The sequence below is a fragment of the Homo sapiens genome, chromosome 19 (genome assembly GCF_000001405.40).
Source record: "Homo sapiens chromosome 19, GRCh38.p14 Primary Assembly".
In the NCBI taxonomy this organism is placed as follows: domain Eukaryota; kingdom Metazoa; phylum Chordata; class Mammalia; order Primates; family Hominidae; genus Homo; species Homo sapiens.
The window spans coordinates 4,714,876-4,730,580 of record NC_000019.10 but is presented as its reverse complement, the minus strand read 5'-3'; the positions used below and the strand labels follow the sequence as shown (position 1 = coordinate 4,730,580).

Here is a 15,705-nt window from a genome sequence, read left to right as displayed (position 1 = left end):
CCAGCTATGTATTTTTAGTAGAGACAGGGTTTCTCCATGTAGGTCAGGCTGGTCTCGAACTCCTGACCTCAGGTGATCTGCCCGCCTGGGCCTCCCACAGTGCTGGGATTACAGGCGTGAGCCACCGCGCCCGGCCTATCTAGGTGCATTTTGAAAGCAGTGTTAATCAAATTTACTGAGTGATTGGATATGGGTGGGAGAGTAGAGGCCCAGGGTGACTCCCAGGTTCTGGTTGAGTCCCTGGAAGGACGGACCTGCCCTCAGCCTAGGTGGTGGACATGGGAGGAATGGTTTGGGGGTCCAGTGGGGCCCAATGTGACTGCGTTGAATGTGAGACCCCATGAGCCCCCCATGTGGAGACATCAGGGGCTGCTGAACAGAGTCTGGACTTCAAGGGAGACTCAGGCTGGAGATGAGACTGTAGGCGATGCTGGCTGTAGACGGGGTTTGGAGCCCGCTGGGGAGGGGTGTGGGTGGAGGAGGGAGGAGGCTGGAGGACTCAGCCCTTGGCCAGCAATGGAGAGAAGGGAAGACTGAAGGATGTCCCAGACAGGTTGGAGGGAAGTGCATGGTCTGAGGACAGAGCTCCCCGGAGCAGGAGGGATCCGGCGGGTCAGATGCCATGGAGAGGACTGGGACGGAGAGACTGACCTTGGAACCGGATGCAGGAGGGTCATCAGTGAGAAGAGTTTCTGGGGAGTGGTGGATGCGGGAGTCTGTGTTGAAGCTCAAGACAGAGCGACCCTATAATTTATAGTCAAAATCAGGACCCTTTTTTTTTTTTGAGATGGAGTCTCGCCCTGCCACCCAGGCTGGAGTGCAATGGCGCGATCTCGGCTCACTGCAACTTCTGCCTCCCGGGTTCAAGAGATTCTCCAGCCTCAGCCTCCTAAGTAGCCGGGATTACAGGCACACACCACGCCAGGCTAATTTTTATATTTTTATAGAGATGGGGTTTCGCCATGTTGGCCAGGCAGGTCTCCAGCTCCAGACCTCAGGTGATCCGCCCACCTCGGCCTCCCAAAGTGCTGGGGTTACAGGCGTGAGCCGCTGCGCCTGGTCAATCAACACACTTTTGAGCAAGAAAGGGGGCACTGAGGGGGTGGGGGCATAAACCGGGACCGTCCTAGCCAAAGCCAGGTGTATAGTCACCTTAGCTCAAAGTAGAATTGGAGGCTGGGTGCAGTGGCTCATGCCTGTAATCCCAGCACTTTGGGAGGCCGTGGCCAGTGGATCACCTGAGGTCATGAATTCGAGATCCACCTGGCCAACGTGGCGAAAACCCATCTCTACTAAAAATACAAAAATTAGCCGGGCATGGTGGCACGCCTGGAATCCCAGCTACTCGGGAAGCTGAGGCACCAGAATTGATTAAACACAGGAGGCGGAGGTTACAGTGAGCCACGATCACCCCATTGCACTCCAGCCTGGGGGACACAGCGAGACTCTCTCAAAACAAAACAAAAAGATAATTGGAGAAGAGAAAGTGGAACTGGAGAATGAGGACATCTCATTAGATTCAGTGGGTTTTGCTCTAAGCAGAAACAGACACGTAAATGGGCAACATTATGATAAATTGTAGCAACCAGGATTTCGTGGCAGCTTAGTTAACAGGGAAGCATTAGAAGACCGACAATAGGGGATTGGTTAATTAGTTGCAATTCATCAAACAATGGCTAATCCCTCTCTTGTGTCCCACTCCCCGGAAAGGTAAGTCAGAATTCTAACCCCTGAGTATCTAAGAACATGACCCTATTTGGAGATAGGGTCTTCACAAAGGCAATGAAGTTAAAATGAGATCATTAGGGTGGGCTGTAGTCTAATATCATGGGTGTCCTTATAAAAAGGGAACATGGGCTCGGCGCAGTGGATCACGCCTGTAATCCCAGCACTTTAGGAGGCCAAGGCGGGTGGATCACCTGAGGTCAGGAGTTCGACACCAGCCTGGCCAACGTGGTGAAACCCTGTCTCTACTAAGAATACAAAAATTTACTGGGCGTGGTGGCGGGTGCCTGTAATCCCAGCTACTCTGGAGGTTGAGGCAGGAGAATAGCTTGAACCCAGGTAGTGGAGGTTGTAGTGAGCAGAGATCGTGCCATTGCACTGCAGCCTCGGGGACAAGAGTGAGACTCCATCTAAAAAAAAATACACACACACAAAAAAGCCACTGGCTGGGCACGGTGGCTCACGCCTAGTAATCCCGGCACTTTGGGAGGCGGAGGCGGGTGGATCACGAGGTCAGGAGATCGAGACCATCCTGGCTAACACGGTGAAACCCCGTCTCTACTAAAAATACAAAAAATTAGCCAGGTGTGGTGGTGGGCACCTGTAGTCCCAGCTACTCAGGAGGCTGAGGCAGGAGAATGGCTTGAACCTGGGAGGCGGAGCTTGCAGTGAGCCGAGATGGCGCCACTGCACTCCAGCCTGGGCAACAGAGCGAGACTCCGTCTCTGTCTAAAAAAAAAAAAAAAAAAAAAAGCCAGAAAAGCACAATTATCATAGTGAGTTGTTGTTGTGTGTGTGTGTGTGTGTGTGTGTGTGTGTGTTTTGACAAGGTCTCACTCTACCACTCAGGCTGGAGTGCTTGTCATGATCATGGCTCACTGTAGTCTTGACCTCCTGGGCTCAAGCAATCCTCCCACCTCAGCCTTCCAAGTAGCTGGAACTACAGGTGCGCACAACCACACCCAGCTAGTTTTTATATTTTTTGTAGAGATGGGGTTTTGCTATGTTGCCCTTGCTAGAATACAGTCTTTTTTTTTTTTTTTTTTTTTTTGAGACAGAGGTCTTGCTTGTTGCCCAGGCTGGAGTGCAGTGGCGAGATCTCAGCTCACTGCAAGCTCTGCCTCCTGCATTCAAGCTGTTCTCCTGCCTGAGCCTTCCGAGTAGCTAGGATTACAGGCGTGTGCCACCACCCCCGGCTAATTTTGTATTTTTAGTAGAGATGGGTTTTAGCCATGTTGGCCAGGCTGGTCTCGAACTCCTGACCTCAGTGATCCGCCCGCCTTGGCCTCCCAAAATGCTGGGATTACAGGCGTGAGCCACCTCGCCCGGCCTAGAATACATTCTTAATGTTGTGAGTTTTAATATATCTACTTTTAATGTTTCAATATGGTTTCAACAGCATTCTGAGAGAAATAACCATTAAAATACATAAAATCAGGACAGGGATAGTGGCTCAGCCTTGTAATCCTAGCACTTTGGGAACCCAAGTCGGGAGGATTACTCGAGCGCAGGAGTTTGAGACCAGCTTGGGAGAGATAGCGAGACCCCATCTCTACTAAAAATTTTTTTAAAAATTAGCCAGGCATAGTGGCACCCACCTGTGGTCCCATCTACACGGGAGGCTTGCGGTGGGAGGATCCCTTGATCCCAGGAGGTCGAGGCTGCAGTGAGCTGTGATTGCACCACCGCACTCCAGCCTGGGTGACAGTGAGACCCTGTCTCAAAAACACCCAAAAACCCCTCAAAACACATAAAAACAGGCACAGAGAGGTACACATTTTAGACTCCAATAGAATTTGGCAAATCTCTACGAAAACTTGCCTCAATGGAAACTTTTGACAATTTGTTCATGATGGAGTTATTTACCAGTAATTATTTTATTTTTATTTGTTTAAATTTATTTATTTATTTATTTATTTATTTATTTATTTATTTAGAGACAGAGTCTCACTGTCGCCCAGTCTGGAGTGCAGTGGCGCGATCTCCACTCAGTGCAAGCTCCGCCTCCCGGGTTCATGCCATTCTCCTGCCTCAGCCTCCCGAGTAGCTGGGACTACAGGCGCCTGCTACCACGCCCGGCTAATTTTTTGTATTTTTAGTAGAGACGGAGTTTCACCGTGTTAGCCAGGATGGTCTCGATCTCCTGATCTCGTGATCCGCCCGTGTTGGCCTCCCAAAGTGCTGGGATTACAGGCGTGAGCCACCGCTCCCGGCCAACCAATAATTAAATTTTCTTTCTTTTTTTTTTTTTTTTGAGAGGGAGTCTCGCTCTGTCGCCCAGTCTGGAGTGCAGTGGCGCGATCTCGGCTCACTGCAAGCTCCGCCTCCCGGGTTCACGCCATTCTCCTGCCTCAGCCTCTCGAGTAGCTGGGACTAATTTTTTTGTATTTTTAGTACAGACGGGGTTTCACCATGTTAGCCAGGATGGTCTCGATCTCCTGACCTCGTGATCCGCCCTCCTCAGCCTCCCAAAGTGCTGGGATTACAGGCGTGAGCCACTGCGCCCGGCTAATTTTTAAAAGAATATTATGGTGGGGTGCAGTGGCTCACGCCTGTAATCCCAGCACTTTGGGAGGCGGAGGCGGGCGTATCACTTGAGCTCGGAAGTTCAAGACCAGCCTGGCCAACATGGTGGAATCCCATCTCTACGAAAAATACAAAAATTAGCCTGGCATAGTGGCTCATGTTTGTAATCCCAGCTACTAGGGAGGCTGAGGCACGAGAATAGCTTGAACCTGGGAGGTGGAGGTTGCAGTAAGTCAAGATTGTGCCACTGTACTCCAGCGACAACAGAGAGAGAAAAAAAGATGTATTGAAATATTATTTATCTTGATTATTGAGTTTTTTGGCACCACCTTAATTTTTGCACCTGGTGCCAGTGCCTTACAATGCTTTAGTCTCCTCACCCTAATCCCAGCCCCGCAGGAGTGAGGGTGTGCAGAATTTTACAGCAGTCTGATTCTAAATTCTTGCCATCATCTTCCCACCTCTTCTACTGTCTCTTTAAGAAAATAAAGAGGCCTGGCGTGGTGGCACATGCCTGTAATCCCAGCACTCTGGGAGACTCAGGCGGGCGGATCTCTTGAGGTCAGGAGTTCGAGACCAGCCATGACCAATATGGCGAAACTCCATCTTTAGTAAAAATACAAAATATAGTCAGGCGTGGTGGCGGGTGCCTGTAATCCCCGCTACTTGGGAGGCTGAGGCAGGAGAATCGCTTGAATCCGGGAGGCGGAGGTTGTAGTGAGCTGAGATTGCGCTACTACATTCTAGCCTGGGCAACAGGAGCAAAACTCCATCGGAAGGTAAACACATACACACACAGTTTTTCTTTTCAGAAAGCTCTTTTACAGTGTAGTTGGGGTCGGGCGCGGTGGCTCATGCCTGTAATCCCAGTACTTTGGGAGGCTGCAGGCGGGCGAATCACGTTGAGGTCAGGAGCTGGAAAGCAGCCTGGGCAACATAGTGCAGGCCCTCTAGTCTCTACAAAAAATACAAAAGTTAGCTGGGAGTGGTTGCACACGCCTGTAGTCCCAGCTATAAGGCACCGTCTCTACAAACGCATTTTTTAAAATTCAGCCAGGCGTGGTGGTCCACACCTGTGGTCCAAGCTACCCAGGAGGCTGAGGTGGGAGGATCGCTTGAGCCCAGGAGGTGGAGGCTGCAGGGAGGGATGATCGTACCACTGCACTCGAGCCTAGGCGACAGAACGAGACTCTCTCTAAAAAATACAAAAAACAAAACACACAAAAAAGTAGTTTGATCTAAAGCAAAATGGTGAATATCTGCAGAAACTAATGTGATATCAAGTATAGATTGATATCTATGAGATGAAAAGCTTCATTTGACCCCGGATGGGTTTGTGGGCCGTTTGACGTGCATTGTTTTAATGGAAGGTGGATTTATGATAAAGTGATAAACATGTGTGTGGGTGGGTGGGTGTGTTGGAAAGGGTGTTTATTGGATTTCTTTTTGTCTTCCTTATTTTCCTTCTTTCGGTCTCTACTGTATCAAATACAATAACAGATATTCAGGAAGAGCGGATATTGCTTTAGCTGACTGTAGCCAGTGTTTCTTTGGTGGGACAACGCAACTATCACTGCAACATTATCTCTATAGGAGAATTTAAAGAACCCTGACGCCTACCGGTTTCCGTAGTGTAGCGGTTATCACATTCGCCTCACACGCGAAAGGTCCCCGGTTCGATCCCGGGCGGAAACAGGTCAGCTGTTTTTCCTAACCGGAGAGTAATACTATTTGAAATTCACCGAAAGAACGATTCTAGTCCCATTCTTTCTCTTCCGCCTTCCTCCTGCCTTTTAGACATTTTTATGGGATTTAAAAAAATTTTCCGTGATTGATGGCTCACGCCTGTAATCCCAGCACTTTGAAAGGCCGAAGAGGGCGGATCACCTGAAGTCAGAGTTCGAGACCAGCCTGGCCAAAATGGTGAACCGCCCCCCCCCCCCCACCCCGCCCCACCCCGCCCCACCCCACCCCATCTCTACTAAAAATACAAAAATTAGATGGGCGTGGTGGCGTGCGCTTGTAATCACAGCTACTTGGGAGGCTGAGGCAGGAGAATCGTTTGAACCTGGGAGGTGGTGGTTGCAGTGAGCGGAGATCACGCCACTGCACTCCAGCCTGGGGGACCGAGCGAGACTCCGTCTCAAAACTAAAATGAAAATTTCAAACTCGCAAAAGTGGTACCGCATGCGTTGGCCGGGAATCGAACCCGGGTCAACTGCTTGGAAGGCAGCTATGCTAACCACTATACCACCAACGCCCTGATAGGTAGCATCCTCTCCGGATATCCTTAATAGTGGGGGATCATGGGTTTGACTGAGTGATACCAAGTCACAGGGGGGTGTCTCTCCCTAACCCACCGGAAGATGTCGTTCATGGGGCGTTACGCACCTTAGGCCGCCGCGCCGCGGGCTCCCCCCCAAGCGCCGCGGACGCCTTGGTACGTGCCTGGTGGTGTCCAATCCCAGGCCGCCGCCTGGGTCGCTCAACTTCCGGGTCAAAGGTGCCTGAGCCGGCGGGTCCCCTGTGTCCGCCGCGGCTGTCGTCCCCCGCTCCCGCCACTTCCGGGGTCGCAGTCCCGGGCATGGAGCCGCGACCGTGAGGCGCCGCTGGACCCGGGACGACCTGCCCAGTCCGGCCGCCGCCCCACGTCCCGGTGAGCAGCGCCCGCGCGCCTCGTCCCGCCCCGGCCGCGACCCTGAACCCGCCATTGACCGGCCCCGCCTCGGCCCTGACCCTGCCCTCGCCATCGCCTGGCCTCCCCGCACCCCGGAGCCTCCATGCACCCGTCTGTGGGTCCCTCCGGCCCCCTGCCTCGTTTCCTCTCCGCCCCAGGCCCTCCTCCACCTTCTTTCCCTCCCCGATTCCTGCGCTGGCCAGGCCACCTCCCAGTTTCTCCCCTTCCCTGATGGGCTTCCCCACCCATCCCGTTGCTGCCCAGGCCACCAGGCTCTGACCCCTTCCGGAGGTGGCCGCACCCAAGAACGTCCTCGTAGCTGCAGACCTTGACACCCTCTCCCCTTTCGTGCAGGCTCTGGAGGTCCCGATCTCCTCCCTCTCCCCATGCAAATGCTGTATATGCACAGAGGCCACCTCCCTCGACCTGCATCCTGTCCTCACTCCTTTACCACTTCCTCCAACCTTCGCCCCGAGGCTTGGTCTCCCCAATCCAGTCCTGATCCTCAACCCTACTTGATCCCTCTATTAAGGGTATCCAGAGACTCTTTTTCCTGCCGAGGCGTTGGTGGTGTAGTGGTTAGCATAGCTGTCTTCCAAGGGTCCAGCCCACAGGGTTCAGCCCCCTTCTCTCAGCCTCCCTTCTCAGGCCTGTCCAACCGCCTACCTTCTTCCCACACAGCCTTAGGCCAGCCCTGACACTTCCCTGTTCACGCTGCCTCTGAGCCATCAAAAGTGGTCTATTCCCTTGGCCCCCACCCCCTGGTCTTCCCCAGGGGCCCCAGGAGGAAGTCACTTGCCTCCCAGGCAAGAACCAACCTGCTTTCGAGGAGCTGGGACTAAAGCCCAGGGGGTGTGGACCGTAGGCACCAATCCCTGCATTCCTCTGCTGGGTCCCAGGGGAATCGGGGCCCGTGGGATGGCTTCTCTCCCAGATTCTGTCCAGGGCATGCAGACAGTGCTGCAGGGCTTCAAGGCAGAGCTAGAATCTAGCCAGGTAGAATCGGGCCTGACAGTCTGCAGCTCCTGAGTGGGGGAGGCTGAACGGCTGGCCGGTGCTTCCATTAACCTGCCACATTCATGACATGTTTATCCTATAAAGGTCTGTGTCCCACGCCTGCAGCTGGAATGGAGGCTCTCTGGACCCTTTAGAAGGTCAGTTGTGCTGGGGTTTGGCAGCCAGGAAGGCTGGGGTGTGGGCTGGTGGGATTCCTTTGCCTGCTCTAGAATATAGACATGGGCAGGAAATGGTTTTCTATGGCCCTGGATGGTTGTCCTCCGCAGGGCAGTGGCTGCAGTTTTTTGTGCGCCTGCTGGAGGCTTTTCTTTCCACCCCTGTCCCCCTCTAGCTGCCCCTGGAAGGAGCTTTTTGAAGGCTTTGAGGAGAGGAAGGGGAGAGTGCTGATTTCAGCAGGATTTGGTGGAGGGGTGCCTGGATCCACCTACACTGCCTGACCCGGTCAGTAAATGGTGTGGATTCTGGCCCTGAAAGGACTTTAGTTTGAGTCTCCCCCTTCCTGTGGTTTTGAGTATCTTGTTTAGTTGACAATGCTAGCTGTCATTTAGTTTGTGCTACATCAGACACTGTGTTAAAAGCTGTATGTGTGCAGTCTCATTCAATTCCCTTGGTGGCCCCAGGCGTAGATACTGTCATACCATGTTCTCGCTGGGGAAGTGGAAGCTCAGAGAGGTTCAGCGACTTCCCCAGAAGTGGCAGAGTCAGGATTTGAACCTTTCTCTCTGAGACCAGAGCCCACGCTTTTCACCACTGGACTGAGAGTATGGCCAGTGATTTTTCGTGGTGACTTTATGCTTAACCTCTTCCCTTAAAATCTCAGTCCTGTCCCCATGTGCTTCCCTCTCTTCTTTTGTTTTTGAGACAGAACCTCGCTCTGTCACCCCTGGAGTGCAATGGCACAATCTTAGCTCACTGCAACCTCCGCCTTCTGAGTTCAAGCAATTCTTCTGTCTCAGCCTCCTGAGTAGCTGGGATTACAGGCTTGCACCACCACAGCTGGCTAATTTTTGTATTTTTAGTAGAGCTGGAGTTTCACCATGTTGGCCAGGCTGGTCTCGAACTCCAGACCTCAGGTGATCTGCCCGCCTCAGCCCCCCAAAGTGCTGGGATTAAAGGCGTGAGCCACTGTACCCAGCTGGCCCTCTCTTCTTTAAGCCTTTGGGCAACTGCGCATCATGGGACCTGGCTTGTCTGAGAAGGTAGTTGGGCACCAACCAAACAAGGGGCCCCTTTGACTTTAGACGGCATCCAAGAAAGCACAGTAGCTCATTCATTCAACCTGAAATGTTTGTTGAGGACCAGGCATGGTCTGGGCTCAGGCAATCTGTTGGGACCAGGATAGATGTGGCCTGCCCTGTGGAACTGATATTCCCGTGAGGAGTGCCCCCTTACCCACAGCAGGGTTTCTCAGCTTTGCCACTGATATTTAGGGTTGGGTCATTCTTGGCAGAGGAGTGGGAGGGGGGCTGTTCTGTCCACTGTAAGGGGTTGAGCAGCATCGCTGGCCTCCACTGGCCACATGCCTCCCCTCACCGTCCCAGTCGTCATAACCAAAAATGTCCCCTGGGGGGGCCGGTTATCCCCAGGTGAGACCCCTGGGTTAGGGGATTCCATGGATCCCCAAGAGACTGCGTCCCATGATCCTCTGCCCTACTAAGGTCCCAGGAGGCTGCACACATTGAAATCCTCACCCTGAGTGGGGAGGGAGAAAGGAGGTGAATCCCAGGAGCTGGGGGTCCCCCTCGTTTAGAATGCTTGTTCCATGGGAAGTTTATTCCAGTATTAATATGAGCGTAGGCGTTGAACTCAAGTTTCTCCCCAAGTAATGGATGCAGGGGTCTCCGGCTTGGCATTGCTGACATTTGAGGTGGGATCCTTCTCTGAGGTGGGTTATCCTGGGCACTGTGGGGTGCTAAGCAGCATCTCTGGGCTCCACCCACTCCATGCCAGGGTCACCCCCGAGTTGTGACAGCCACACATGTCTCCAGACATTGTCCAGTGTCCCCTGAGGGGCCAAATCGCCCCCAGTTGAGAACCACTCTCCCTGGGGAAGGGGACAACTGGAATTATGGTCCAGGCCATTGTATCAGCGTCTGGGTGTGGTGATGGGGGTCGCCAGGTAGCATCTTCAGATGGGGTGCTCAGGAAAGACCTCTGAAGAGGTGGTATCAGGAGCCACAGGGCAAGAAAGAGCAAGTCATATCAAAAGCAGGAACTGGCATTTCAGGCCACGGGGTGCGTCGTGCAGAAGCTGTGTGCTAGGAGCGAGCAGGTGTGTTGAGGGACAAGAAGGAGGCAAGTGTGGCCGAAGGTCATGGTCAAGGGTGAAGCAAGTAGGCAAGGTCACCAGGGCCATCAGGCAACGGCCACAGTGAGGAATTTGGGATTCTTCTATTTCCAGCAGGTGCCCTGGTGTGATGTCCCTGGAGTCACTTGAAACTCCCAGGGACTTTACACCTTGAAAGGAACCTCCTGTTGAGAAAGATGACGGGCTCTGGCAAATGCCCAGAACCTCCTGCATTTCAGGCCAGGGCCTGAAGCATCGTCTCTTCAGAATGCCCTTGGCTTCAGGGTGCTCCCCGGAGGCTTGGGGGGCTGCCTGGAGCAATGAGGAGGGGGCGAAGGGGGCAGGAGCGCCCACTCCCCACCTGCTGGGGTTGCAGCCCTTTGATCTCTCCTCCCACTTGCCCGCAGGCACCCCTGCCCTCCTGAGGTCAGCTGAGCGGTTAATGCGGAAGGTTAAGAAACTGCGCCTGGACAAGGAGAACACCGGAAGTTGGAGAAGGTGAGGTTGGCCTCGGAGGCCCTGATCCGTGAGGATGTGGCCCAGCTTCTGGAATTCCCCAACAGTCTAAGATCTGGAAGGCCCCTTCTTTCCCTCTCCCCTGGCTTCCCCAGCACGTCCCCAAGACTGTTCTGGTTATTTCAAGCGAGGAGGCAGTGTGGCGTAGTGCGGGGTCTCCCCCTCGGCACTGTGGACGCTGGGGCTGGAATGTTCTCTGGGGTGGGGCCATCCCAGGCACTTCACGGTGCTGAGCAGCGTCCCTGGCCTCCACCCACTTCATGCCAGGAGCTCCCCTCAGTTGAGACAACCACAGATGTCTCCAGATGTCACCAAGTGTTTGCTGGGGGCAGAATCACTCCTGGGTAAGAACTGCTGATCTCAGTGTAAGGATGTGGGTTTTGGGCTCCAAGAGACTGGGGCTCCACTCCCCTTCCTCTCTGGGTGACATTGGACAGGCCATTCAACCTCACTGAGTCCATTTTTATTTATTTATTTATTTATTTATTTATTTATTTATTTATTTAAGACGGAGTCTTGCTCTGTTACCCAGGCTGGAGTGCAGTGGCACGATCTTGGCTCCCTGCAACCTCCATCTCCCGGGTTCAAGCGATTCTTCTGCCTCAGCCTCCCAAGTAGCTGGGAGTACAGGTGCGTGTCACCACACCTGGCTAATTTTTGTATTTTTAGTAGAGACGGGGTTTCACCACATTAGCCAGGATGGTCTCGATCACCTGACCTTGTGATCTGCCCGCCTCGGCCTCCCAAAGTGCTGGGATTACAGGTGTGAGCCCATTATTTTGGTCCTGAAAATGAGGAGGATCCCAGAACTGAAGAAGTGCCCTAAAATCAGGTGTGGATGGAATGTGGTTAGACACGCACCCCCCGGGGCAGTCAGTAAACTCCATGTCTCAGGGCCTGGCACGAGATGAAAAGGCGGTAGGAATTCCTCGACCCTGCGAACCTTTCTCAGTATTCAATTTTCTAATACTCTTAGGCTTGTTTGCTTCAATGGAGCATGCTCAGCTGGGAAGGGAATTGAAGAATGGACCGGGGAAGACGGGGACGGTGTGAAGGGCTATGATTGGCCCAGCCATGGGCTCTAAAACCGGGTGGTCCCAGCGTCTGGTGGGCACATGCCTTAGGGGTCAGTTACTGAAGGGGATCTGTGTCCCTTCCCTTATCTGCACACACTTAATGTCCCACCTGGGCACAGGCTGCTGGGTGACTCTGTAAAGGTTGCTCATCAAAGCTAAAGGCCCAGGCAGTGCTGGGGGCAGTTTGGGTAGGACAGAGGGTGGCATGCTGTTTCCCCGGCAGCCCCCACTTGCAGGGGCACTTGCCTGGCCTGGGCCGGCTGCCCAAAGTCCACCTTGAGGCATTTCCCCATCCAGCGCATGGGTAGGACCCTGTCCTCACCACCCCCATACGCCCCTTGCCCCACGCCAGCCAGGGGCTCCCACCTTTCTTTCTGCCTTATCACCTTGTGGTCGGCCTGAACTCAGAACTGCAGTCAGCACTGAATCTACAGTTCCTTCTAGGCGTCCAAATACTTCCCCCATCTCCAACTACTCCCCCGCCCCCGCTCGCCACCAAAGCACCAGCTCAGACACAGACATCACAGAGCTTTGGAGCTGGGCACGGTGGCTTGCACCCCTCTCATCCCAGCTATTTGCTAGACCGAGGTGGCAGGATCGCTGGAGCCCAGGAGTTTGAGACCAGCCTGGGCAATATAGCAAGACCCCATCTCTTAAAAAAAATGAAAAATTTAAAAAGGAGATCACAGATCTGCCACCCAGCCTTGACAGAGACCATGCTAGGAGGTCTGGAGCTGTTTGCTGGTGGTGTCACAGGCCGCAGAGGCACCCAGCTGATTGGCCGAAGGAAGGAGTAGGTAGACTTGAGTAAGTGGCCTGGAATCCATCTCTGCAGCTGTGTAAACTCTTGACTCCCCTGAGCCACAGCATAGGGTGGTGCTAGGTGGAGAAAGCCCATCACAGGCTAGCCCTCGCTCCCTCACTCTTGCGCCAGCCTCTCTGCAATCCGGGCTGTGCCCCCGGGTAGAAGAGAGGTCAGCGGAGGGCCAGGCTCCAGCACCAAGCCTCGGCCTGTCTGGAAGCTCAAGCTAAAGAGTCTAGCCACATCCAGAAGATTCCTGGAAGTTTCTCGCGATGTTTCATTTCATTTCTCATCTCCGGGATCGAATTTTTGCTTCTTGGGCTATCAGTGGTGATCAGAGGCAAGATAATTTTTATTGTTCTTTGCAATGAAAACAAGCCACGCGGGTCTATAAGTGCTTCCGGGCAGGCTCTCAGCTTATGGGTGGCCCCTTTGGGAGCTCCGAAGGTCACATTTTTTCTTTGCTGCCGTGAGCCAGGCTTGAATTGGGGCAGCACAGCTTAGAGGGGTGCTTAGGCCGCTCAGAGGAGCTCCCCGGGCTCAGTTTTCTGGGCTTGCTGCCAGCAGTGCTTGGGGCAGTGGGGGTTCTTGAGTGCTCAGGCGGTCCTGGTCCCAGCCGCTGCCTAACGCTGCTTGTGGCTCCCCACTGCCCTGGAGGGGACCTGCAGCTCTGCAGTGGGCGCGGACATCCTGTGTGTGACCTGAGAGCCCTGTAAGTGCTGATGTCCTTTGGTTCGTGTCTTTATTTCTGTCTCAGGAGGAGCTGAACTAACAAACTGCGCCCCTTCTGGCTGGAGGGCAGGACACGCTGGCCCTGCCTGGATGGAGTAGGATGAAACAAGGGAAGCATTTTCCCCTGTCATTTCTTTGGGGTCGAGTTGGAGAGGGACCTCCAGAAATCAGCCCACAGCCGTGATACTCAGAAGCCACCTTCCCAAGGGGTCTTCCGCCCCATGAGCCTTTCGTATGTCCCTTGCTGAGGTGGCTTCTACTCTCCTTGGCTTACGGGACCTTCCCACAGGACACGGGTGTCTCGCAGAGCACGGCACGGGCAGTTCTCTGGGCTGCACTCTGTGACTTTTCCTGCTGTAATTGCTGGGCTTATCACACAGCATGTCAGTGGGAGGCCGGGGGCCGGGCTGCCTCCACTGAACCCCTTTTGCTCATTCACTCGGCTCTGATTGGGAGCAAGCTCCAGTGACCTCCCAGCTTCAGTTTCCCCACCTGTAGAATGGGCTGTCACAAGCCCAAGTAAGGCCCAAATGAGGTGACAATTGCAGGTCGTGATCTTTCTTTCTTTTTTTTTTTTCTTTTTTCTGAGACAGAGTCTCACTCTGTCGCCCAGGCTGGAGTGCAGTGGCACGATCTCGGCTCACTGCAAGCTCCGCCTCCCGGGTTCACGCCATTCTCCTGCCTCAGCCTCCCGAGTAGCTGGGACTACAGGCGCCCGCTACCACGCCCGGCTAATTTTTTGTATTTTTGGTAGAGATGGGGTTTCACCGTGTTAGCCAGGATGGTCTCGATCTGCTGATCTCATGATCCTCCTGCCTTGGCCTCCCGAAGTGCTGAGATTACAGGCATGAGCCACTGTGCCCGGCCAAGTCCTGATCTTTCAAAGGCGCTCGTTGACATCCTTGCAGCTCTTTCTCCCCTTCCCTCTCAAAGCAGGCTGGGGCCCTTTCTCTTGCAGTGGTTACCCTGTGGGGTCTCCTCTTGGCAAGAGGCAGAGTCTTCTGGGAACTGGCACACTGCAGAGTCAAGGCGGCCCACTCATCTCTGCCCTTTACTTCTCTCACACCCAGTCCCTGCTGTCCACTCCCGCGGGTTTTCCCACTTCCTCCAAGCAAGCAGCGACTTCCCCAAGCCAAGCTGTTGGTCCCGGAGGACAGGGCTTCTGGCAAGGTCGGCAGTCACTCGGAGCCCACAAAGGGAAGCGAGACCAGCCCCGGTGCCACCCTTTCCAGACCACTGGCTCTCGCAGAACTGGGTCACTGCGGCCATGTTTAGATTTCTGTAAAACAAATATTTGCCTGGCCAGTCCAGTCAGGTCAAGGAGTGTGCTAAGTGACGAGGGCGGGAGTGGGGTGGTGGGAGATGTGACACCGCGGCGGCCACTCACGGTGGCTGCTTTGCGGACCCAGAGTGTCCTGAGTGGGAGGAGAGAGTGGGATATTCTTTGGGGAAGGGCGTGCCATTCACCCTTTCACCTGCACCTCCCACATCCCGAGGCTCTGGAACTTCCAGTGAAGGCCAAGCATCTCCCCGGCTGGACAGCAAGCCAACAGCACAGGTGACCAGGATGGATTTTCATTCCTTCACGCCCGGGCCTCTCCCGAGACCCAGCATGTCTCCCCGCGAGCCCACTGAGAGATAATCATTCCACAGTGCTCCGTGGAATGCCTGCCACGTGCCAGCCACCAGCTAAGGTTCTGGGAGCACAGCTGTGAATGGGACAGACATGGGGGAGACAGGGGTCCCACAAATAACCGCTGTGATGAAGGTGGAGGGAGGGGACAGCCAGGTGGCGTGTGAAAGATGAGCAGAAAGACCAGCTTCAGCGTGGATGGTGTGAAAGGTTTCTGACGGCCTGCCAAGTACTTCAGCTGAGATCTGATTAGAAGCTGGCCAAGCAGGCTGGGTGCAGTGGCTCATGCCTGTAATCCCAGCACTTTGGGAAGCTGAGGGAGGCGGATCACTTGAGGTCAGGAGTTCGAGAGCAGCCTGACCAACATAGTGAAACCCTGTCTCTACTAAAAATACAAAAAACATTAGTTGGGCATGGTGGCAGGCACCTGTAATCTCAGCTACTTGGGAGGCTGAGGCAGGAGAATCGCTTGATCCTAAGAGGCAGAGGCTGCAGTGATCTGAGATCACGCCACTGCACTCCAGCCTTTGGAGACTCTGTCTCCAAAAAAAAAAAAAAAAAAAAAAAAAAGTATATATATATAAACATATATCAAAGAAGTTAAGCAAAGTGAGGAAAAATGCACTCCGAGCAGGAGGGCCAGCATGTGCAAAGGCCCTGCGGTGGAAAGGAATTTGGCCTGTTTGAGGAGCTGAGTGAAGGCTCATTTGGCTG

At 53.9% G+C, this 15,705-nt stretch overlaps 1 protein-coding gene, 1 long non-coding RNA gene and 2 other non-coding genes across 50 annotated transcripts in view, besides 3 other annotated features; 2 read left to right on the top strand and 2 right to left on the bottom strand.

The window, feature by feature from the left end:
• Window positions 1–4,993: 4,993 nt before the first annotated feature.
• On the bottom strand, window positions 4,994–7,701 carry LOC105372250 (uncharacterized). Of its 3 annotated transcripts, none has more exons than XR_936274.2 (3): window positions 7,595–7,701; window positions 5,872–5,961; window positions 4,994–5,446 (listed from the first exon to the last, which is right to left on the bottom strand). It is a non-coding gene; the product is annotated as an uncharacterized LOC105372250 (long non-coding RNA). The 3 variants fall into 3 exon arrangements; XR_936273.2 differs by lacking the exon at window positions 7,595–7,701 and adding an exon at window positions 6,643–7,505; XR_936275.3 differs by lacking the exon at window positions 7,595–7,701 and adding an exon at window positions 6,320–6,358.
• Window positions 5,819–6,018: a silencer, noted in NCBI's record as "silent region_9904". NCBI's record gives its function as "represses an Ori minimal core promoter by ATAC-STARR-seq in GM12878 lymphoblastoid cells {active_cell/tissue: GM12878}" and the evidence as "EXISTENCE:reporter gene assay evidence [ECO:0000049][PMID:35858748]".
• Window positions 5,874–5,946, top strand: TRV-CAC3-1 (tRNA-Val (anticodon CAC) 3-1). Its single transcript has one exon. It is a non-coding gene; the product is annotated as a tRNA-Val (tRNA).
• On the bottom strand, window positions 6,440–6,511 carry TRG-TCC1-1 (tRNA-Gly (anticodon TCC) 1-1). The gene has a single exon. It is a non-coding gene; the product is annotated as a tRNA-Gly (tRNA).
• Window positions 6,469–6,558: a silencer, noted in NCBI's record as "silent region_9903". NCBI's record gives its function as "represses an Ori minimal core promoter by ATAC-STARR-seq in GM12878 lymphoblastoid cells {active_cell/tissue: GM12878}" and the evidence as "EXISTENCE:reporter gene assay evidence [ECO:0000049][PMID:35858748]".
• Window positions 6,739–15,705, top strand: part of DPP9 (dipeptidyl peptidase 9) — a 48,616-nt gene continuing 39,649 nt past the window's right edge. For 21 of the 45 annotated variants that reach the window (NR_169285.1, NR_169289.1, NR_169290.1 and 18 more), the window contains exons 1-3: window positions 6,739–6,907; window positions 8,030–8,082; window positions 10,640–10,730. Coding sequence is in view for 26 of the 45 variants with exons in the window: in NM_001384619.1 (NP_001371548.1) it covers window positions 10,675–10,730 (56 nt within the window). In the remaining 19 variants the exon portion in view is untranslated. The other 24 variants (NR_169287.1, NR_169286.1, NR_169288.1 and 21 more) reach the window with 14 other exon arrangements.
• Window positions 6,789–6,938: a silencer, noted in NCBI's record as "silent region_9902". NCBI's record gives its function as "represses an Ori minimal core promoter by ATAC-STARR-seq in GM12878 lymphoblastoid cells {active_cell/tissue: GM12878}" and the evidence as "EXISTENCE:reporter gene assay evidence [ECO:0000049][PMID:35858748]".